At 58.6% G+C, this 21729-nt stretch overlaps 1 protein-coding gene across 1 annotated transcript, besides 1 other annotated feature; it reads right to left on the bottom strand.

Moving 5' to 3' along the window:
• Positions 1-685: 685 nt before the first annotated feature.
• On the bottom strand, positions 686-21494 carry SLC6A18 (solute carrier family 6 member 18). Its single transcript, NM_182632.3, has 12 exons — positions 21238-21494; positions 14516-14656; positions 13987-14124; positions 11213-11394; positions 8815-8925; positions 7313-7425; positions 6216-6344; positions 4012-4168; positions 3116-3320; positions 2502-2661; positions 2108-2267; positions 686-1027 (listed from the first exon to the last, which is right to left on the bottom strand). Exons 1-12 carry the CDS (start codon positions 21395-21397, stop codon positions 797-799), a joined length of 1887 nt encoding a protein of 628 aa, NP_872438.2. The 5' UTR covers positions 21398-21494; the 3' UTR covers positions 686-796.
• Positions 20558-21100: an enhancer, noted in NCBI's record as "H3K4me1 hESC enhancer chr5:1225890-1226432 (GRCh37/hg19 assembly coordinates)". NCBI's record gives its function as "activates a minimal SCP1, AML or CMV promoter by ChIP-STARR-seq in primed H9 embryonic stem cells {active_cell/tissue: H9 hESC(primed)}" and the evidence as "EXISTENCE:reporter gene assay evidence [ECO:0000049][PMID:30033119]".

Here is a 21729-nt window from a genome sequence, read left to right as displayed (position 1 = left end):
GATGGGGAGGAAAGAGGGAGGAGGAGGGCGGAGGGAACAGAGGGAGAGGGAGGAGGGAAGCACGCGCGTGGCGCCTGGAGCCGGGGTACTCTGGAGCAGGGCGGGCTGGACGGGGGCTGCACAGTGCGCTTGGCGCCCGGGGCGCGGGTGACTGCCCCACGTGAGCGAGCTCCTGCCTGTCGCCCCTCTGCCCCGGGACAGCAGGAGCCTTTTGGTACCTCCTTAATACAGTTTGACAGTTTGGGAAAATAAAAGTGGCAACCTACAGTGTTTCTCAGAAATTTCAGGAAGGGTCAGCCAGACCGCAGACTCCAGACCCCAGGCCCCCGCTCCCAGGCGGGAGGAAGCATCTGTCCTGGGTACCCCTGCCGCCTGCGAGCTGTAGGGGGACAGCCCGCCTGGGACCTGGAGCCGGGGTGCAGGCGGCCCCCTGAGCCACCCGGGCGGCCGCTCTTCCCCAGAGACCAGCCAGGCTAGGTTCAGAGTCTGTGAGACCGGGAGCCCCGCACCTGCGAAGATCCCTGAGCCAGCCCGGCCAAGCGCAGGGACCTCAGCCGCTGCAGGACGCCCAGGCCGCGGGCTCAGCAGGGATGCCGGGGCCCTGCGAGACCTCCCTAGGGGCGGGCCCCAAGCAGCAGCGCTGCCCGGGCGTCAGGAAAGCAGTAACCACACGTACACAGCGGCATCAAGGTTGAGTCGCTGGTGTATTGGGGTCGGCCCTGTGGGCGGGGCCCCGCCCACCATCAGGCCAAGCCCCCCCACAGACCCGCCCATGCAGGCCCCGCTCCGGCCGGCTTCAGCGCATGTCCGTGTCCGGGCGCATGTCCGTGTCTGGGCGCGTGTCCGTGTCCGGGCGCATGTCCGTGTCTGGGCGCGCGTCCCTGTCCCTCCACGTCCGCCTCCGCCGGGTGAGCAGCTGAGCAAGCGCGGCCACCGGGACCCACAGCACGGGCAGCAAGGACAGCAGCACACAGGCGGCGCGCGCCCAGCCCGGGTAGAGCTTCTCCTGACGCGAGGGGAACAGCTCCTGCGGGACCACAGCCTCATTAGCTGGCGCCGGCCACCCTGGGCCGTGAGGCTGACCCCCGTGCTCCTCAATCCAAGGGGCAAGAGCCACCTGCCCACCCGGACTTGGATGGGAATGGAAAAGGCACGGCCAGAGCAGTGGCCAGGCCGTGTGGCCGCTCACCACCGCCCCTCCGGGCCAGGAGTTTGGGGACCTGGGCTGAGCTTCTCCTGGGGCTGGGGCCTCCCCGAGGTAGGCCTAGGTGTTGTGTTCTGGAACCAGAGGGGCTACATGGCCTCAACCCATTGGGCGTCGTTGGAGGCCGTGTCCCCAGCTTTCTCCCCTATACACTGGGTGGCACCACCCACCCGGCTGCAGGTACCGTGGAAATTCTTCAAAAATACATGGTCACTCCTCCTTCACCTGCCCTTGGTGTTCTGCTACGGAGGGACTTTCCAAGACACATTTGGAGAGGAGTGGCGTCCACATTCCCGAGAAGGGGTGGCATGGTGAGGTTTTGAGCGGCCACCAGTGGGGACTCAGATGGTATGTCAGGGGCTGGCGCTGCTTGGAGCCCCTGAGGCGTTTTCGGAGTGTGGCTGGCACTCTGATCTCTCCTCGGGAGGCTTTTGTGTGGAAACGGCCTCCAGCCAAACTGACCCACTGGGTGGCAGTAGGGGTCTGTGCACAACCTCTCTTGTCACAGACCAGGAATGGGCCGTTGTCCGGCTGCCCGTCCCCATGCCACATGGGCAGGACACAGGCAGGGAGGATGAAGCCACATCCCCAAGGAGGAGCTCCAGGGCCCTGTGGGGTCCCTGGGCTCTGGGCACTGCTCAGGTCCTCACTCCACTGACCAGGCGCTTGCCCATGGTCACCCCCATGCCATTTCTGATCCCAGCGGGCACTCGGGCGCTGCACAAAGCCCATCCTGTTCACATCCCTGGCTTCCCAGTTTGCCAGGCAGAAGTGACCACGCCACCTTGTCACTAGCACGTGAATGTGCACCGCATGGGTCGTCGGGCACCGGATGGCACCGTAGGGGCCAGACCAAGCCCGAGGGGTCCCAGGACTTCCCAGGTTCCCACCGGAAGGACCTACGTATTTGGGGTTCCAGGCCTTGTATCTCAGTGGCTTCCAGAACAGGAGGATGATGTAAGCCACAAAGATGGTCAGCAGCAGGGGACTGACCACCCTCCAGGTCAGCCGCCAGTAGGGGCTGGGCCGCCTCCCGGTCATCCACGCAATGTCATCGCAGAACCTGCACCAGATGCTGGGCTCAGGCTTCACATGGTCTGTGGAAGGTCCACCCACTCCAAGCCGAGGATCGGACCCTAACTGGGGTCCAACCTGCACCCTCTGGTGCCTCGGCAGCTCCCCAGGGCAGAACATTCTCGGCGGTCTGGGCAGCTGCGGGTTGAACCTGTGCCCGGCAGCCATTCCCTGTCCCACCCTGGTGGGTCCCAGAGGAGCACTCGGCGGGGCGGCAGCTCACCGTTTCATTCCATAAACATAAACGACACCCACAACCTCGAGAAAGGCCAACATGAGCAGGTTCGGGGAAGCGGCAAAATTGTCGAAAATCTCCAGCCAGTAGTTCCCAGACTGCAGCGTGAAGCAGGTGGCGGAGAGGAAGCAGACCAGGCAGACCAGCCCTGGGGCAGTGGGAAAGGGGTGTGGGGGGTAAGGGGATGGGGAGTGGAGGTGTGGGGAGGGTCAGGAGGAAGCCAGCCAGGCAGACCTGCCCTCGGACAGCGGGGAGGGCCAGGGCACCTGGGCTGGAGACTTCTCTCGGCTTCCCACCCTCCATCCCTGCCCTCCCCAGTCTCTTTCCTGTATTGTGCTCAAGGAGCAGGAAGGACCTGCTTTCCTGCTCCAGATGGGGGATGTGGCCTCCGGGGCCGTGGGGGAGGGGCAGCCCTGACCCTCCCTCGACCCTCGGCTCTCCGTTGATGGCTGTCAGCAAGGAGTAGCCTGGCTCAGCCTTTCCCTGAACTCAGGCTTGGCCCCTTGCGCTCTCCATCCAGGAGGGGCGTCTGGACAGCGGGCGGGAGTGGACAGTCAGATGCTGGGGACGGGTCCTCCAGGGCGGCGGAGCTGTGCGCTCACCAGTCAGGGCCTCCTTGGGGACCCATCTAGGCAGGACCCCCACGTCCAGCAGGGGTGTGATGACCGCCTCCACGGTCCCGAACATGGTCGATAGCCCCAAGGTGAACAGCATCCCGAAGAAGAGCATGGCCCACACAGGAGCCCCCGGCATGTGGAGGTCGGTCTCCGTGAAGACGACGAAGGCCAGGCCCGGGCCCGAGGCACTCTGCAATACACGGAGCCCCGGGCTTCAGGCCACGCACACACACACTCCACCACACACACACGCCTGCCTGCAGGACACACACTCTCCCAGGCCGAGGACACGAGTGCACATCACCCCTCCTGGTGTCGGGCTGAGGTGGCTCAGGGCTGGCCATGCCTTCTGGGAGACGAGGCTGCAAGCGCAACTCTGCAGGGGAGGGTCCTTCCCCTTTAATAACCCACAGCAGGCAGCTGGGCCTAGAAACCAGCGCCTTTTATGCCTAGAGTCAGGCACCCTGAGATGCATCCCACACCTGCCTCCTGGCTGTGCCCCCCTGCCTGGTGCCCCTAGGTCCAGGCATACACTGGCCCTGAGTGTGGCTTGACCCCAGCCATGCCCTGGCACTGTGACCCTCATGCTGGCCACCCCCTCTCCTGGGGTCTGGGCACCAGCAATGCCCACTCTCTCGGGTCAGCCCAACCCCCAAGACTGCTGGGTGCAGCGTCTGCTGGACACAGCTGCCCCCAGGACTTCGGGCTTTCCAGGAGGCCTGGCAACCTGAGACAAAGATAGACTGGGGTTCTTGGTTCACAGGCCCTGGCCCTGGGTCTGTGGGAATTGTTTGCAGCCTTTGGCAGTGGGACACAGCCAGTGCGGCCCTGGTGCTCCTGTGGACGGCCCTGCCTGGCTACCCCAGGGGGTGTGCAGGTACCTTATCCAGAAAGTCTTCCAGGAGGCAGGCCTTCAGGGGGAGCTGGGCCACCCTCTTGGGCCAGGTGGCGTTCAGGTGCATGAGGACGGCTGGGTAGTCGTCCCTGGAGATGCTCTGCTCTGGGAAGTCAAAGTCGTTGATGAGGCTGAGGATGTTTCTGCGGGGACAGAGAGGACTGTGGGCTCATGGCCCTGGTTCCCAAACACATCCAGAGAAACCCTTGGTTGGTGCTGCGAAGCACAGCATCCCTGGGAGGGCTGGGCCCCTCCTGCCCCTGTTGGGATCGTGTGGGCCCCTCCTGCCCCTGTTGGGATCGTGTGGACGCCTCCTGCCCCTGTTGGGATCGTGTGGACGCCTCCTGCCCCTGTTGGGATCGTGTGGACGCCTCCTGCCCCTGTTGGGATCGTGTGGACGCCTCCTGCCCCTGTTGGGATCGTGTGGACGCCTCCTGCCCCTGTTGGGATCGTGTGGACGCCTCCTGCCCCTGTTGGGATCGTGTGGACGCCTCCTGCCCCTGTTGGGATCGTGTGGACGTCTGTGCTGTGACAGGGCGGCACTGGTAGGGGCATGGTTTACTCCATGCACACTGCCGGGTGAGGGGAGAAGCTGTTCTCTACCCCCCTGGGTTTGGAAGGGGAGCACTCCCCCATGGGTGCAAAGGGGGTGGGGGTGGTGGCAGCTTCCTCACTTCGAAGGTGGGTCCTGATTCGCCCTGTGGGGCCGCCCTGCAGACAAGGACCTGGGCTTCTGAAGGTTTGCTGGGAGGACTTCAGCCCACCCGCCCACCCTTCTGTCTCCACTGCCAAAGGCTCCTTCTGTCCTCAGGGCTTAAGGTTCAAGCACAGACAGCCAAGGGCGGGACACATGGATACCAGCAAACACCTTTTTGGGGCTCCAGCTATTCCTAGAACAATCCTGAAGAGAGAGACCTCGCTCCCCTCACTTCTAGCCCCATGTGGCACACGAGGCCAGCTTGGGCTGCACGGCGCAGGGCGTTGTGCGCACGGCTGGTCCTTATCCGCCTGCTCATTGAGATGTGCTTGTAACCCCGTCAATATTTGCGCACTTTTACAGTTACTTGCGACATTCAGAGTGAGCAGAAATCAGAGTTGCCCGCCATGCACGTCCCCGGCTGGGGCTGAACAAAGCCCAGCTCTGCCTTCTTGACCCGGCTCATCCTGTAAATCCTATAAATCACCGTCCTCCCTGACCCGGCTCATCCTGTAAAACACTGTCCCTTCTGTGGCCTGTGAGTGCCATGTTTTCCACTTTTGTGTGCGTTTTCTTGGTGACGTCCCCGTTGAAAAGTGCCATCAGGTGCAGTGCTGACGTGCTGCCCTGCTCCCAAGCACAGGAGGCTGGGGTTGGAACACTCAGGGCTGGTCACTCTCTGGGTGGGGCCGTCCTGGACACTGTAGGGTGCTGCGAGGTATCCTCGGCCTCCACCCACTGGATGCCAGGCACACCCCTCACACAAGTGTGGCCAATCAAAAATGTCTCCATATACTGCCAGATGTACCCTGGTGGGGTCAGAGTCACCCCATGTTGCAGGGACGTGCTGTCTGCCCAGTGGGTTCTCAAGGACCCACCTGAAGGTAGTTCACAAGCAAGTTGGGTGCTCTAAGAGGGCCGTGGGTCTGACGAGGCAGCTGCCTGTGCAGGGGACAACCTAACTGCATCAGGTCCTGGGACCACCGCAGCAAACGACCAGCAATGGTGCCTCAAAACCACGGGAAATCATCCTCTCCCGTTCCGGAGTACTGTGACATCTGAAATCCCAGTGTGGCCAGGCCGCGCCCCTCCTGAGCCTGCACGGGAGACTCCTCCCGCCTCTTCCAGCTTCTGCACCTTCAGGCATCCCTGGGCTGTGGCCACAAGCGCTGCGACCTCTGCCTGTCTTCACGTGGCCTCCTCCTCTGTGTCTGTCTCCTCTTCTTATAAGGACTGTGGTTATTGGATTTAGGGCCTACCCTACTCCAGAGAGACCGATCCTACTTAATTACATCTGCAAAGACCCTTTTCCAACCAGGTCACATTCTGAAGTTTTGGGTGGAAGTGACCTTCTGGGGACACCATTCACTCCACACCCCTACAGAAATGAAATGTGCCCACGCCACCCTTCCTCATGCCTTGGGATTCTCGGTGCGGCAGGCACCTGTCTGGCGGCTGTGCCCCACAGAGCCAGGCGCGGCACCTGTGCTCACCTGTCCAGGCAGTGCTCGTAGTCATTAGTTGCTTTGAACCCCAGGACAGAGAAGACAGCGATGGACGCGTACAGGGAGGTCATCCTGTTGACCAGGGCGATGACCACCGCATCCTTCTGGCAGTCATTCCTGGGCACAAACGCACGCTCATCACAGGCTTTGCAGGAGGTAACTGGGCCTCATCCAGGGGAGGAAGTGAGGAGGGGGCTTCCCTCCTTGACCCTCTCTCCCGCCTGGGATGCCCCTTCTCTGACCCAAGGGCTGCTGCTGCCAGTCCTGGAGTCTCAGAATGGCCTCAGATCCCCCCAACAGTCTACTCCAGCAGCCCCAGCTCAAGGCTGCTAAGGGTCTGAAACCCATTCACACCCCCACCAAGGCCTTTAGGCCCACAGGGAGCTGAGAGGCAGGGCATTCATAGAGGATCTGAAATGTACATGTTTTGGAAAATCATCTCCAAAGGAGAAACGCACACAAGTGCAGCTCCAGTGTGAGTTCAAGGAAGTAAGGTGTCGATCACAAACATTTAAAGCTTCCCTGGCGTCCCAGCTGGCACTTCCTTCCCTAAAGGCCGCCAGCGGGCAGAGCTGCCCAGGGACCAACCTGCCTCTCCCATCTCATGCAAACTGCCTGCCTCCGAAGGGGGCAGAAATACTGGCAGCCACGGGAAATAAGGCTTGTTTCAGGTTCATCACAGTGCACTGGGCTATGCACTTTATGATCCGTGGAATTGCACTTTGTAGGGATCTGTGCATATTAAGATATCATAAAAGCAGCACCTGCTCATGTCGGCACCAACGGGCCTTGAGTCTATTTCAGGTGACCATTGAGGCTTTTATGGCCCCACGTGTCATGTGCATTTTGATTGGTATCGTGCCCAGTTACACCCTGGTTCCTGGGTGTGATTATCCAGGCTGTCTTCCTGCAGCCAGCTCCGGACGTGCTGGGAGCTGCCGTGAGGGCCCAGACTGTGGCGTGAGGTTCTTATCTCAGGTTCACACAAGGCCACCCTTGGATCCACAGTGTGATCCTGAGATCAGGAAGTGCTCGGGCGTCTCCCCAAAGCTTCCCTGGCTGGACAGCTGAGCCCGACTGCCTACCTGGGCGAGTTGTAACTTGCAAAAGCGATGTGTCCTCCGAAGGCCAGGGACAGAGAGAAGAATATCTGGGTGGCTGCGTCCAGCCACACCCGGGGGTTCTGGAGAATGTGCATCTGGAATGAGTCAGGGAGAGCGTCTCACTCAGCAGGCAAACCACATGAGCTGGTGGCCCTGACTGTTCCAGAACGTTCCCAAGGTGGCTTTGGGGACACTCGTGAGCAAGTGTGACCTGTACAGACACCAGGAACAGGGTAGGACCACGCAGGTGTGCAGGTGTGGAGTGGCAGCTCTGTACACGGCAAATGCCAGGCCCCTGTCCGGGATGTGGCCGAATGAGCCGGTGGCTGTCAGGCGCACATGAGAACGTAGCTGGCAGGTTTTTTGGGGCTGGAGATGGGTTTGAGCAGCTCCTGCATGGGCATGTTTACTGTGCCCTCTCTAACCGGGCGGTTCTGGGTGATTTGAAGCCCCGAGGGCAGGGATGCCATGCACGGAGCCTGGCTTTTCTGCTTCTGGGGCCTGGGAAGGTGTCCTCTGTCTTTTGCTAGGACTCCGGGCAGACATGCCCATACCCAGGTGCCCACTCCCACACCAGCCCCTGGAAACTGCCTCGGGATGCTGGGCAGGGAGTGCCGCGATCTGGGATAGTACAGAATGCTCTAGAAGCCGTGCAGGCTCCTGGAGCAGGCGCTGGCTCCTGTGGCTTCCCAATGGGGTGCATGCAGCTGGACAAGGCCCTTGGTGGAGTCGGGCCCAGAGCAGGGACATCCAGTCCCCAGCCAGCCTCTCCCAGAACCCTGTCCCTCCTCCCCTGACCCCTCACATCCATGTCCACTTGGTGTCCCACAGGTGCCAAAGTCCACCTGCCCCAGACCGAAGTCCTCCTCCAGGCCCACTCCAAACCTGACCTCTTTCCTGAGTCCTCCAGGCTCACTCCAAACCTGACCTCTTTCCTGAGGCCCCTGGCTCACTCCAAACCTGACCTCTTTCCTGAGGCCCCAAGCTCACTCCAAACCTGACCTCTTTCCTGAGGCCCCTGGCTCACTCCAAACCTGATGTCTTTCCTGAGTCCTCCAGGCCCACTCCAAACCTGACCTCTTTCCTGAGGCCCCAAGCTCACTCCAAACCTGACCTCTTTCCTGAGGCCCCAGGCCCACTCCAAACCTGACCTCTTTCCTGAGGCCCCAGGCCCACTCCAAACCTGACCTCTTTCCTGAGGCCCCAGGCTCACTCCAAACCTGATGTCTTTCCTGAGTCCTCCAGGCCCACTCCAAACCTGACCTCTTTCCTGAGGCCCCAGGCTCACTCCAAACCTGACCTCTTTCCTAAGGCCCCCCTCCCGCCACGCCATCCTGGGCCAACCTCACCCCTGACCACCAGGCAGCCCAGCTGCTGGAGTGGCTCCTGGCCTCTCACGCTCCCAGGTGAGGGAGGGAGCTGCTGGCCACAGCCCTGAAATGTGTGTGCTGGAGGCCCTGAACTTTGATCCAAGACCCACTTACGTTGGGAGTGAACAAGTAGATGAGTCCTTTTGTTGCCCCTGGCAGGGTCAGCCCTCTGATGAGAAAGATGGTCAGGACCAGGTAAGGGAACAAAGCTGTGAAGTAAATCACCTTGAAACAAAAGGTGGAGTCATGAGACTTGAAATGGCCTCTGGTCTGTCCACAAGCCTCAGAGAAGCAGGCAGGCTCCAGACACCGCCCTTGTGGTCAGAGTGGCTGCCTCTGGTATGGGATTGACCAGGACGGATGGGGGTGCACCTTGGGGGATGGTGGGGTGCAGGCTCAGGGCAAGCTCGGAGGGTTTGGGGCTCACCAGAGACAGTCACATGCACATTCGTTTACATGTTTGTGCCCCATGGAGCACTGGCTGTCTGGGAGACTCAGGCCTCCTTTGAGCAAAGGGGCTGGGCCCTGAAGAGGGGTCTGGGCCAAACTCCCTCCCTGGCCTCCCTCTCCCAAGCCACCCACCTCCACTTGCCTCTCTCCTGGTCACCCTCGTTTCTGACCATATCCTTTCCCTGCTTTGGTCCCCTCTCCGGCCTCCCTCCTGTCCACTCTCGAGTTCTCAGCCCTTCTGTGTGGCCAGAGTCTTCTTCCTCCCACCTCGATGCCCCCACCTGGCTGCACCTACCCTGTACCCCTTCTGCCCACATAGAGCTGTTTCCCACTTCTCATCAGCTGTAGACAAGGGTCTACACACTAGACATCCACATGGAAGAGCATAAATGGACACTCCTCTCTCACTCCTCTCCTCAGTTCCCCCAATACAGACTGACTGCAGAATCACCTGGGATGCATTTTTTTTTTTTTTTTTTTTTTTGAGACAGAGTCTTGCTCTCTTGCCCAGGCTGGAGTGCAATGGCCCAATCTCGGCTCACTGCAACCTCTGCTTCCGGGTTCAAGCAATTCTTCTGCCTCAGCCTCGCAAGTAGTTGGGATTACAGGCTCCCAACACCACGGCTGGCTAATTTTTTTTTTTTTTTATTTTTAGTAGACACGGGGTGTCACTATGTTGGCGAGGCTGGTCTTGAACTCCTGACTTCATGTGATCCACCTACCTTAGCCTCCCAAAGTGCTGGGATTACAGGCATGAGCCACTGTGCCCAGCTTGGGATGCATTTTTAAGGGCCTTTATAATAGGATTATTTGGAATTTCTGGCTGGCTGCTTTGTCTAATTCAGTAATTCCAGTCCTCTCAAGCATGAAGACCCCCACCCTCCATGTAAGAGGAATGACAACCTCAGCACACTGAGACACTGCACAGGGCATGGGGCACTGGCGTCCTGAGACACTGCACAGGACATGGGGCACTGGCGTCCTGAGACACTGCACAGCGCATGGGGCACTGGGGTCCTGTGTCTGTGGCCCATGGGTCAGGAGGCACGGTCCAGGGTGCATGGACTGAGCACCGTCATTTGAAAAGAATCCACACATGTGTGATACCAGACTGGAGATGATAGCACACACTAGAGAATACAGGGTAAGAACTCTTCTTGCTTGAGGGGTCCAGGCAAGCAGGAGGCTCAGGTTCTACTGGTCCTTTCTGCTGCTCCCAATGGAAACCACATGGTTGAACATCAATACAGTTTTTCTCATTATTTAAGCCTCTTTGAAAGATAATCGCTTGTTTAAAACTAAACTGATAACAATGCATTTGCTGTTTATATAACATGTTATAAGCAAAATGTATGACAACAATAGCGCAAAGCCTGGGAAGGGAAATGGGATAAAATGCAATGAGATTCTTAAATGACCATAGAATGCCCCAAGATCACTTAATGATAGACCATGACAGGCTAGAGATGTAGACTGTAACCTCTAAAGCAGTTACTAGAATAACAAGAGAGAGTTAAAGCTAAACCAACCAAGGAGATAGAGCGGGATCCTGAAAAATACCTAGAGAAAGAGAGAAACAAGAATAAAAAAAAACAGATGGGGCACATGGAAACACATCTGAGGACAGAGCTAAACCCAACCATATCAATAATCACATTAAATGTAAATGCTCTAAACACCCCAAATAAAAGGCAGAGATTGTCAGATTGGTTAAAACAGCCAGATCCAATTGTATGCTGTCTACAAGAAAAACACTTTCAACATAAAGATACAAAAAGTTTAAAAGAAAAAGGATGGAAAAAATACACTCTGTTAACATAGCCCAAAGAAATCTGGAGTGGCTATTTTAAAACAAAGTCAGTTTCAGAGCCAAGAATATCACCAGAATAAAAAAGGTTGCTTCACAGTGATAATGGGATCAATTCCCTAAGAAGACGTTGCAATCCTAGATGTTTATGCCCCTCGCAAGAGCTTGTAGACACAAAGCGAACACAGGTCAATGGGGAGGGGTCTTGGGGGCTGGAGGAAGCAAGAGAGGGGATCAGGCCCTGCCAGCTCTCACCTTCCCTGTAGTCTCAATGCCCCTGATGACACACATGTACACGACTGCCCAGGAGGCTGCCAAGCAGATGAGCAGCCACCACTGGATGGAGCCACTGTCATTGATGTCGGCTGTGATGTTCAGTGTCTGCCGGTACCAGAAGTAGCTCACGGCGCTGCTGCCCTGGCACTCCTCCACAAACCCTGAAACCAGGGGGCCTGTCACAGGCTGGCTGTGGGGCGTAGGCACCCTCACCATGTGGCTCTTGAGCTCAATTTCCCTGGGCTGCTCACAACACTGCCCTTTTGGGCTGAGGTGCCCTTTCACTTCTTTTTGGGCCCAGGGCTGAGATGGAGAAACAGACGTGGCTGTGAAAATGAACAGGCTGAGTGAACCTCAAAGGGAAGCTCCACTTTGCGAAGGTTTACGAGCCCTGCTGAGCCGGGGCAGCCTGCAGCCCCTTGGACGTCACTGTCACCATGTAAAGCTGGTCCCCTCACTTCCTCCTGCCACCCACCATCCCAGACCCCCAAGGATGGCACAGGAGCACTGGACGGAGAGCGGCTGCATGTGTCAAGTGTGTGGCTGGCTAGTGCTTGGGGAGAAAGTGAGGCTGTGGCCAGGCGGGCAGATTGTCCTGTGACTCCCACTTCCTCCTTGACGGGGCCACAGGCTGATGCAGGGATCCAGAGGCAGCGTCTGACAACAGCAGGCTCCCGTGACATCTCTCAGGACCCACTGCAGCCCATTTCTGGGACACTTGACTGGGGAAATGTGGGGGGCCCCTCATGGAAAAGTCTGAGGATTACCGGTATCCCGACCGGGCCACTGCCCATGCCACAGGGCTCCTCCCTCCACACTGTCCTTGGGCCCCAAGGCTTCTTCTAGGTCTCCTTCTAAGGCCCTGCCAGTCATTGACATCAAGCACTGTCACAGCCCAGCTCTGAGTGGGCACTGCCTGCCCCACGCTTGGCTGAGGGAAGGGCATGGGCAGAGCTGGCCCCTCCGGGCCCTTTTCTTCGGAAATTTTCCTTCAGTGGAGCTTGGGGCAGATGTGGGAAGGGCAGTTATGGGGCCCTGCCGTGTGCATTGAGAGAGGACTTAACTCCTCTCGGCCTGCCTGAAAATCAAAGGGCTGGCCTAAGTGACCCCAAAAGTAAACGCTTGGACAAGGTAGAAGGAATTTGGGACCCACAAACCATCACCCAGGAACTCGGGCTGCAGATAGCCTGTACTGGGGCCGCTTCTGGAGTGTGGCTGGGAGGAACCCTGGCAGGACCACCCACCCTCAGAGAGGTGCCAGGAGGCTGATGGCACAGCCAGGGCTCTTGGCCTCCCCAGGGTGCCCAGCTCTGGCCCAGGGCATCCAGGTGCAGACTCAGTGTTCGTCCCTGAGGCCAGCCTCATCCAGCACCAGCCCAGCGTGAGTTTTAGCAAAAGGCAGGAAGGAAAGAAAGTCAGAGTTGCTTCCTAAGCAAGTCATTGAAAGATACGACTGTCAGTTGAGTGCAGTGGCTCACACCTGTCATCCCAGTGCTTTGGGAGGCTGAAGCAGGAGGATCGCTTGAACCCAAGGGTTCAAGATCATCCTGGGCAACATATTGAGACCCCGTCTCTACAAAAAATAAAATTAGCTGGGTGCTGGCCGGGCGCGGTGGCTCACGCCTGTAATCCCAGCACTTTGGGAGGCCGAGGCAGGCGGATCACGAGGTCAGGAGATCGAGACCATCCTGGCTAACATGGTGAAACCCCGTCTCTACTAAAAATACAAAAAATTAGCCAGGCCTGGTGGCAGGCGCCTGTAGTCCTAGCTATTTGGGAGGCTGAGGCAGGAGAATGGCGTGAACCTGGGAGGCAGAGCTTGCAGTGAGCCAAGATAGCACCACTGCACTCCAGCCTGGGCGACAGAGCAAGACTCCGTCTCAAAAAAAAAATTAGCTGAGTGTGGAGGCACTTGTCTGTGGTCCCAGCTGCTTGGGAAGTGGAGGTAGGAGAATCACTTGAGCCAGGAGTTGGAGGTTGCAGTGAGCCATGCTTGCACCACTGCACTCCAGCCTGGGCAATAGAGGGAGACCTTGTCCCAAAAAAAAAAAAAAAAGAAGAAAATATAACTGTCATTCATGTCTCGAGGATCTCCCCAGATGGAGCTCCTGGCTGAGGTCTGGACCCAAAGTCTGTTTTTTGTTTGTTTGTTCGATTGTTTTTTGATACAGAGTCTCACTCTGTCACCCCGTCTGGAGTGCAGTGGTATGATCTCGGCTATCTGCAACCTCCACTTCCCGGGTTCAAGCAATTCTTCTGTCTCAGCCTCCTGGCTAGCTGGGATTACAGATGCCCGCCACCATGCCTGGCTGATTTTTGTATTTTGAGTAGAGATGGGGTTTCACCATATTGGTCAGGCTGGTCTTGAACTCCTGACCTCAAGTGATCTGCCCACCTCGGCCTCCCTAAGTGCTGGGTTGACAAGCGTGAGCCACGGCGTCCGACCTAACGTCTTAAATCTAACAACAGCAGTGCCCTCGCATGACCACGCCATGCACATGGCTGCAAGGGGACCTCGGTGGTCCGGACCTGGCAGGGAAGCACAGCACAGCGTGGAGGTCATAAGAACTGGACTGCACGTGTGCTCCTGGGGAGACCGAGGCGCGTGCATGTGCACACAGAGCAACCGGTTCCCCGGCCCTCCCCCCGCGGTGAGCATCCGCCACCCGCAGCTGCTCTGATGCTGGACACGCTGCAGCACATGCCTCTCTCGGCCGTGCACGGACCCACACAGCAGGCGGCGCCCAGCTCACCTGTTCTGTTGAGGTCCGGTGGGCAGGAGCTCCAGGGCAGCGGGTGCTGGAAGGAGTTGAGGAGGTACCACAGCACCCACGCCACGATGGTGTTGTAGTACAGGCTGATCAGGAAGGACAGCGTGACACAGCCCAGCCCTGTGGACAGGGACCATGTCAGGTGGCCCCGGGGCTCCTTCCCAGCTCCCTCTGCCCAGAAGCAGTGAGAATAAAACAAAATAACAACATAAAATAACACATGCTGAAGGGCGCAGCTGAAAGCCAGGCCTCCCTCACACCTCACATGTGAATGGCAACACCAGCTTCCAGGTCCTTCCGGGATGTCCTGGCACACATGTTCTCCATCTCTAATTCTCCCCGAGTCACCGCTGCTTCTCACACACACCCAAGGGCTCCCTGCCACCCCACCCGCCGGCCTGGCCTGGCCGCTTCCGTACCACAGGCATGGACCCGCCCCCGCCCCACCTCTCATCCAGGAGGGCCCTGTCCCTGGCAGCCTCAGTCAGGGCAAGCGAGGACGGTGGCCTACCTACTCCACTGAGGTACGGGGAGATGGCCGTCCACACGCCGACGCTGCCCTTCCGCAGCCGCTGGCCGATGGCGAGCTCGACGTGGAAAATGGGGATCCCCTCGAAGACCAGCGCGATGACGTAGGGGATGAGGAAGGCCCCTGTGAGGAGGGGGTGGTCAGCACCTGCCCAGGGTCGGGGGCTGGGGGGGACTGTGGCGTGGGCCAGGGGGAGCCACCTGTGGTCTTCAAGGGGCAGACGGGACCTGAATGTTGGGGGCACCACTTGGGTGGTGGAGACACCCTTGGGGCACTGTTGGGTTGCCAAACCCTGCCTCTGATTTTGGCTCGGTTGCTGAGACCTCTCATCAAGAGGGCAGGGCCCTGGAGGGGAGCAGGGGGCCCAAAAGGAGGCAGCCGGCCCTGGACTAGGACTTGGGGTCTAAGCGTGACCCCTGTGTTGCGTTTGCTGAGGGACCAGCATTGTTTGAGGCACCTGCCTTTTCCTGGGGGCTGCTGTGGCCGGCAGTGGGGACTCAGCCTCTGTGGGAAGGAGGCCTGCAGGGGCCTGGCGGAATCACACTGAAAACCTCTGCCATCAGCCTCCCCATGGGAAAACAGCTCCTTTCATTAACGTGATGTTTCTGAAAATTCATGAGTCTGCAGAAATAAAGTGCTGACTGAGCATGTTTTTTAAACACCCCAGTCACCGGAGGAGGTCTGGCTGCTTTTGTGTGAGGTCGCCTGTTGGCTCCCCGGCTTCATGCTGCTCTTGTTGGAGCTTCATGCAACAGATGGCATGAGCTGCTCTGTTCCCCCAGGGACCCCAGGGCGGCTTGAGGGCTGCTCTGTTCCCACGAGGAACCCGGGGCGGCTGGCGGTCTCTCCTGGGAACTGGAACCATCTTTGCTCATGGGGATGTCGCAGGAGAGTGGTGTCTCAGACCAAGGCTCTGAGAGCTGCATCAGGGCTGGACCAGTCCCCCCACTTCCTGGCATCTCGGGCCTCTGTACCTCCATCCAGTGCCATGATGGGGGTGCCCATAGGCATGGCAGGATGAAGGCCCCACAGGCCCCAGGGCAGGGGGAACAGGCCGGCTCCACTTCCTGGAGCTAGTGGAAGCACCCAGTAGAGATGAATGGCCGTGCCTTCTGCCTGGGGCACCCGCAGTGGAAGGGGCAGACAAGGTGCCAGGGCCTGGTGCTGAGGATGCGAGCAGGGCTGGCTTCCCGTGGAGTCCACAGACCCTCCTGGCCCCAGCGGCAGAGCTGGGCATGATCGATTCCTGCAATTTGACCTCTAAGTTCAGCAGCTGCCTACAAGACCTGCTGGGAGGATGCTGGTTCTCCCGGGCTCCTGGTTCCATGGGCATCACTACGCTGCTGAAGAGGCCCCTGTGTCTGCATGCTGCGTCTCAGTCCTGGTGGCCTCACAGAGTTGGCAGCTGCACTGTTCCCCAAGCGAGTCACCGTCTGTGCACGAGTTCGGGTCTCTGTGCAGCTCCACGTCTGTGCCCAGGGCTGTTGACTCCTCCCCACCTGCATGCACAGGTGCTGGGACAGGCTGCGGGGTGGCACTGACCTCAGGCCTTCTGCCCTAAGACGCTGACCTACATGGGTGCCGGCTGCCCACACTCTTCCCCGCCGTGCGTCTCCGCGCCTGGCATCTCCCATCAGCTCCACTTTGCCAGGCAGGGTCCGGCTTCTAGAAGCTCGTTTCCAGGTCATCAACACAGCCTTGCTCTGGGTTTGTGTCACCATGAGAATGTTCTGCGACTGCCACGGGCACAGGGAGGCCCTAGAGTGGGAGGTGAGCCCTCACCCCTGTTGGCTTCTGCACAGGACTCCAGGGCCAGCATGTGGGGGCCGGACGGCTCTTGTCCGTGTCATTTACACAGCGGCAGAAAGACAAGCATTGAAGAGGGGAAGCTGAGGTCTACGGGGTCAGCCTCAGGTGGAGGCACCTGACACCCCAAGATGCCTCCTGGGAGGGTGGGAACAGCTGTGGCCAGGGCCTGGAGCAAAAGGGAACAAAACCCAGGGCACCCCAGGGAGCTCATGGCAGGGAGTCAGCATACCTGCCTTTCTCAGGGCCAGGCTCCCATGTGAATGGGGGGACACCCCCAAGCCAGCCTCTCTTCCCCCACCTCCAGCCTGTACCGTGAGAGCCCCTCTTCCCCCACCTCCAGCCTGTGCTATGAGAGCCCCTCTTCCCTCCCCCACGACCAGCCTGCACTGTGAAAGCCCCTCTTCCCTCCCCTCCAGCCTGTACCGTTAGAGCCCTTCTTCGCTCCCCTCCAGCCTGTGCTGTGAGAGCCCCTTTTCCCTCCCCCACCTCCAGCCTGCACCTGAGAGCTCTTCTTCCCCCACCTCCAGCCTGCACCATGATAGCCCTTCTTCCCTCCCCTCCAGCCTGCACCGTGACAGCCCTTCTTCCCTCCCCTCCAGCCTGCACCTGAGAGCCCTTCTTCCCTTCCCTTCCCTTTAGCCTGCGCTGTGAGAGCCCCTCTCCCCTCCCCCATCTCCAGCCTGTACCGTGAGAGCCCCTCTTACCTTTCCCCTGTTCAGCCTGCACTGTGAAAACATCACTTCCCCCCACCCCCAGCCTGCACCGTGGAGGCCTTCTTCCCCCCGACCTCCAGCCTGCACCTGAGGTCTCAAGGCTGGTGTGTGACCAGCCACCCATCCCGCAGTAGTGGCTTCGTGGCCACACTCAGGCCTCAGGTGCACAGTGGCCGGGTGGAGGACAGATGTGGGTGGCGTGGGCACCACGTCGCGGTGGGCAGGGGCTCCGGGTTCCAGATATGGGATCCACTGTCCAGGGAGCACTGCAGACTCCAGGCCAGCAGGTGCCCTGGGCCCCATTGACCCTTGCTCTGTGGTGAGGGCCATTGAGCCTGGGCTGGGGCCTCAGGTGACCAGGCTGAGGTCAGTTTGTCAGAGACCACCCTGACAAGATCATCGAAGGGAAAGATTTGGGGAGAAGTGAGCTCTCTGTGACTGATTTGGGGAAGCTGAATCTGCTGTATTTAGGGGAGAGGAGATGAGAGGGTTTTCTGTGAATTGAGGGTTTCTGTGTTTAGGGGAGAGGAGATGAGAGGGTTTTCTGTGAATTGAGGGTTTCTGTGTTTAGGGGAGAGGAGATGAGAGGGTTTTCTGTGAATACGAGATCGTGGCCACAGCTGGGATCTTCACGAAACAGGAACGTCGACTCTGTGGTACAGCGGCTGCATTAAAGCCGTATGTAGACTGCCACGTGGGCATAAATGTAGATAAAAAATCAACCAGAGTGTTGTGGTTGGGGGTGGTGGCTCTGTTGGCCAACCCAAGTCCAGCACGGAGGGCACTTTCCCCGGCCTGCGTGGGCACGGGTCTCACTGGGCAGTCTTTACGTTGAATGCGCAGGAAGAGACAGTCAGTCCATGCATTTTTTCCGAATTTGAAGGAAGAAGAAGCGTTGATTCCACATGGTAAGAATGTCTACACAACTCCTTTTTGGGTGTTTGTTTTGAGACAGCATCTTTCTCTGTCATCCAGGCTGGAGTACAGTGGCACAGTCATGGCTCACTCCAGCCTCGACCTCCCAGGCTCACGCCATCCTTCCACCTCAGCCTCCTGGGTAGCCAGGGCTACAAGTAGACGCCAGCACGCCCGGCTAATTTTTATATTTTTTATGGAGACAGGGTTTTGCCATGTTGCCCAGGCTGCAGCTCCTAGTTTTAACAATTACGTGAAGTTTAGCAGTCGTTCATAAGCATGGAGGACGCAGTGGTGTCTGCCGAAGACGGGAAAGGTGGCTGTGAACGGCTGGCTGCTGTTACAATCGATCCACGCAGGATCGAGAGAAACCTGCACCCCACCACACGAGGCTGAGAGATGCAGAGGCCGCAGTGCAGCCACTGAGCAAATGCAGAGGAGAAGCAGGCTCTGCTCAGAGCAGCGGCAAAAGCCAGGGATTGCTGAGAATCAACCAGAGACACGCCCAGGGTCATGATGGAGAGACCCGCAGGAAGGCAGAAAGGAGACCGAGCCGGGAGCCGCGAGGGTGCAGACGGCAGATGGTGCTCCAGTGCCAGCCCCCACTGCCTGGGCACTGCCTCCAAGGCGTGAAGGCCGTCAAGGTGGAAACTCCCCCCGGGCAGTGTAGAAAGCAGCACAGGGCCAAGGGAGCGCCGAAGAATCTCTTCTGGAAATTGACAACCTGGTGTAAAGCTCAGAGGAAAAGTAGCAGCTGGCAAAAGTTCAAAGAATAAAAAAAAAAGGCCTTGCTCTACTACTAGGCGTCGAGACTAACGAAGAAGCCATAGTAATTAATACAGTGTCGTTTTTGGTGCAAGAATCCACAGATCTCAACAGCACCTACCAGATACAGAAGTCGGTTGAACACCGGAGGCAGGAAGTAGCGGGGAGGGGGCGCGCTTGATGAGTGACCTCACGTGTGTGGACACAGCCAGCCCAGGGCCACCAGCTTAGTCATAAAAGCTTCCTGGGTTGAAACCTTAAACCACAGCAAGTGTTAGAGTGTCCCGGGCAGCTGGCCTGAACCCATCGCTTGGCATTTACGAGTCTACGTTCCTTTGATTTAAAGACGCTGAATGTGTAATAAAGCAGCTGCCATGAAATGTCATAGGTGTGAGAAAATCACTGTAAATCTTTACCGCAACGTTTTGCTACATTCTGTTACAATGTTGCTTTACAAGTCTTAGCTTTGAAGAGAACATTTATGTAGTTGAATACTTATGAATGGGAGAGCAAATAATATTCGCCTTTGGTAGTCATGAGTATATGCAAATGTTAAAAGCTACACAGTACCTGCTTCTTAATTATATCTTGTTTTCAAAATCATCAATGAGTGATCCTCACAGCGAGACAAAGTGAAGGGCATGTTCACACACAGGGTGAGAATGCTGATGGCACGGCCCTTAGGAAGTGTGTGAGTTAAATAAACTTGGATGTTTCATGACATGCAACCCGGTGGCTTGCATCAGGAGATTGATGGTAGAGTCGTTCATGAGTGGAGCAGCCCTGAAGTCCCCGCGCAGCTGGCGGGCAGGGCTGTTCTCCCTCCTCAGCAGCACCCCAGGTGGGGGCCTCCCCAGCTTTGCCCCAGCGTGGAGCAGCTGAGTTTAAGGGAGGCTAGTGCCAGACACTTCCAGTACACTGCAGGCGCTTAGCAATGGTAACTGGGTTTCGGTGGGCAAGGCATCGGCGGGCAAGGCATCGGCGGGCAAGTCATCGGCGGGCAAGGCATCGACGGGCAAGGCGTCGGCGGGCAAGGCGTCGGCGGGCAAGGCGTCGGCGGGCAAGGGGTCGGCGGGCAAGGTGTCGGCGGGCAAGGCGTCGGCGGGCAAGGCGTTGGGCGCGTCGGCGGGCAAGGCATCGGTGGGCAAGGCATCGGTGGGCAAGGCGTCGGTGGGCAAGGCGTTGGGCAAGGCATCAGCAGGAAAGGCATCGGTGGGCAAGGCATTGGCGAACAAGGCGTTGGTGGGTAAAGCGTTGGCCGGCATTTCCAGCTCTGCGTGAAGCCTGCTGCCCCCACAACCTTGCATGCTCTGGTGACTCTTAGCAGATCGAGCCGCAGCACAGGCAGCGAGGGCCCCGGGAGCCAGGGACGCCTCTGCCCTTGGGCTTTGGTGCTTTCAGAAATGCCTTCAAAGGGACTCTCATGATGAGAAGATCCAAGGCCCAATGCACCCTCTCCAGCCCCAAAGCCCCAAAGAGACCCCAGTGCCCCGAGGGTGGCAGTGACGGGTGTTTCTTTTTGTTTTTTCCATTTGTGCGCATTTCCTGCATTTTCTGCCTGTTGAGAATCTTTTCTTAAGCAGGAGGAAAAACACTTTAAAGGAGTAACCTTATAACAAGGGATAGTTGTGCGGGGCTCTCAGGGAAGGAGCTGAGGGCCCGGGGAACAGGCTGACCAAGCAGCCCGGCCTGGCCTGAGGAGGACCCTGCGGCCTGGGAAGCCCCTGCCCGTGTTGCCTGGGGAAGACCTGGGTGTCCATGCGTGATGTTGTACGTCGGCTCCCTGAGAGCAGTGATTCATGCCTGTCCCTACATCCTGTGTCGCCACATGGAGAGCAGAGTGTGACCCCTGCATGAAGAGAAGCAGGCACAGGGTGAGGGGAGGCTCGAGGTGCGTGGGAGCCTATTTCAGTCACCAATGCACTTCTGGGGGTGGTGAGTCCAAGGTCACTAAAGTCACCCAGACAGTTCTGAACATCCTGGCACCCCCCACAGGGCTCTCCCAGAGAACCAAAGCCAGGGAGGCGAGGGGTGGGCCCCCAAATTCCTGCAAAGAACCTCGGAGAAGGGCACCTGAGCACATGTCTGGACACACCAAGGCTGTGGTGAGGAAACCCAGAGCGGATTGTGTGTTCTTTAAAGAACTGACGACATTCAGATGGAAGAGCGCTCACTGTTTGTAGGGTGTGTGTGTCGGGCAGGGCGGCCCATTCAACCTGACGCCTGGCAGGAAGCTGCCCTGAGGTCCCGGAAGACCATAGTGGACCCCGAGGGGACTGGATCCTCCGTGCTGTGGGCAGTGGTGAAGCTGCCCTGAGGTCCCAGAAGACTGCAGGTGGGCCCTGAGGGGACTGACTCTGCCGTGGGCAATGGTGCACCCTGGTTTCCAGGAGGAGTGACTCTGCCCAAGCACTGGGGATGCGTGGCAGGCGCCTGGCAGGTCAGGGTGGAGACGGCCTCCCCTGCTTAGGGGTCTGCCCCAGGACGCAGGTGGGTGCTTACCTCCTCCATAGGTCTGGCACAGGTATGGGAACCGCCAAATGTTCCCCAGTCCCACGGCAAACCCAGTGCAGCTCAGGAGGTACTGGGCCTTGTTGTCCCACTTGGGCCTCTCATCCCCGAGGTCGCAGGCGGCCGGGTCCGGTTCTGGGGCATGAGCCATGGTGACTGAGTGCCCCAGGCTTCAGGGCAAGGGTGGTGCCTCACTCCACACCCAGCACTAGAGAGCCGTCTCCAGCCTCTGCCGACGTTTGGAAACCACAAGCAGCCCCACTGCAGTTGTATTTATTCATTTCTTTAAAGGAAAACCAGTGGAGTGCCGTTAATGGGTAACTCAGGTCCAGGCCCTGGCTCTGACGCCAGGGTCCTTCCCTGGCACCCACGTCCTCTGCTCCTTCTCGCATGCTCTGTGTTCCAGGCAAACGCCGGGCCTGGCACCACCCCCAGCACCATGAGGACCGTTTGCAAGGACAGCCTCAAGTTTTTTTGTTGCAG

This window comes from Homo sapiens, chromosome 5 (genome assembly GCF_000001405.40).
Source record: "Homo sapiens chromosome 5, GRCh38.p14 Primary Assembly".
Taxonomy (NCBI): domain Eukaryota; kingdom Metazoa; phylum Chordata; class Mammalia; order Primates; family Hominidae; genus Homo; species Homo sapiens.
The sequence above is the reverse complement of the archived record's forward strand: the minus strand, read 5'-3'. Positions and strand labels throughout refer to the sequence as shown.

Excerpts from the sequence above, each read along its gene's own strand:
- SLC6A18 (NM_182632.3), bottom strand. The coding sequence starts at position 21,397 with ATGGCTCATGCCCCAGAACCGGACCCGGCCGCCTGCGACCTCGGGGAT. Across the intron at positions 6,345-7,312 it reads GCAAGTTACAACTCGCCCAG|GAATGACTGCCAGAAGGATG; the intron begins GTAGGCAGTCGG and ends GTTTGTGCCCAG. Across the intron at positions 4,169-6,215 it reads TACGAGCACTGCCTGGACAG|AAACATCCTCAGCCTCATCA; the intron begins GTGAGCACAGGT and ends CTGTCCCCGCAG.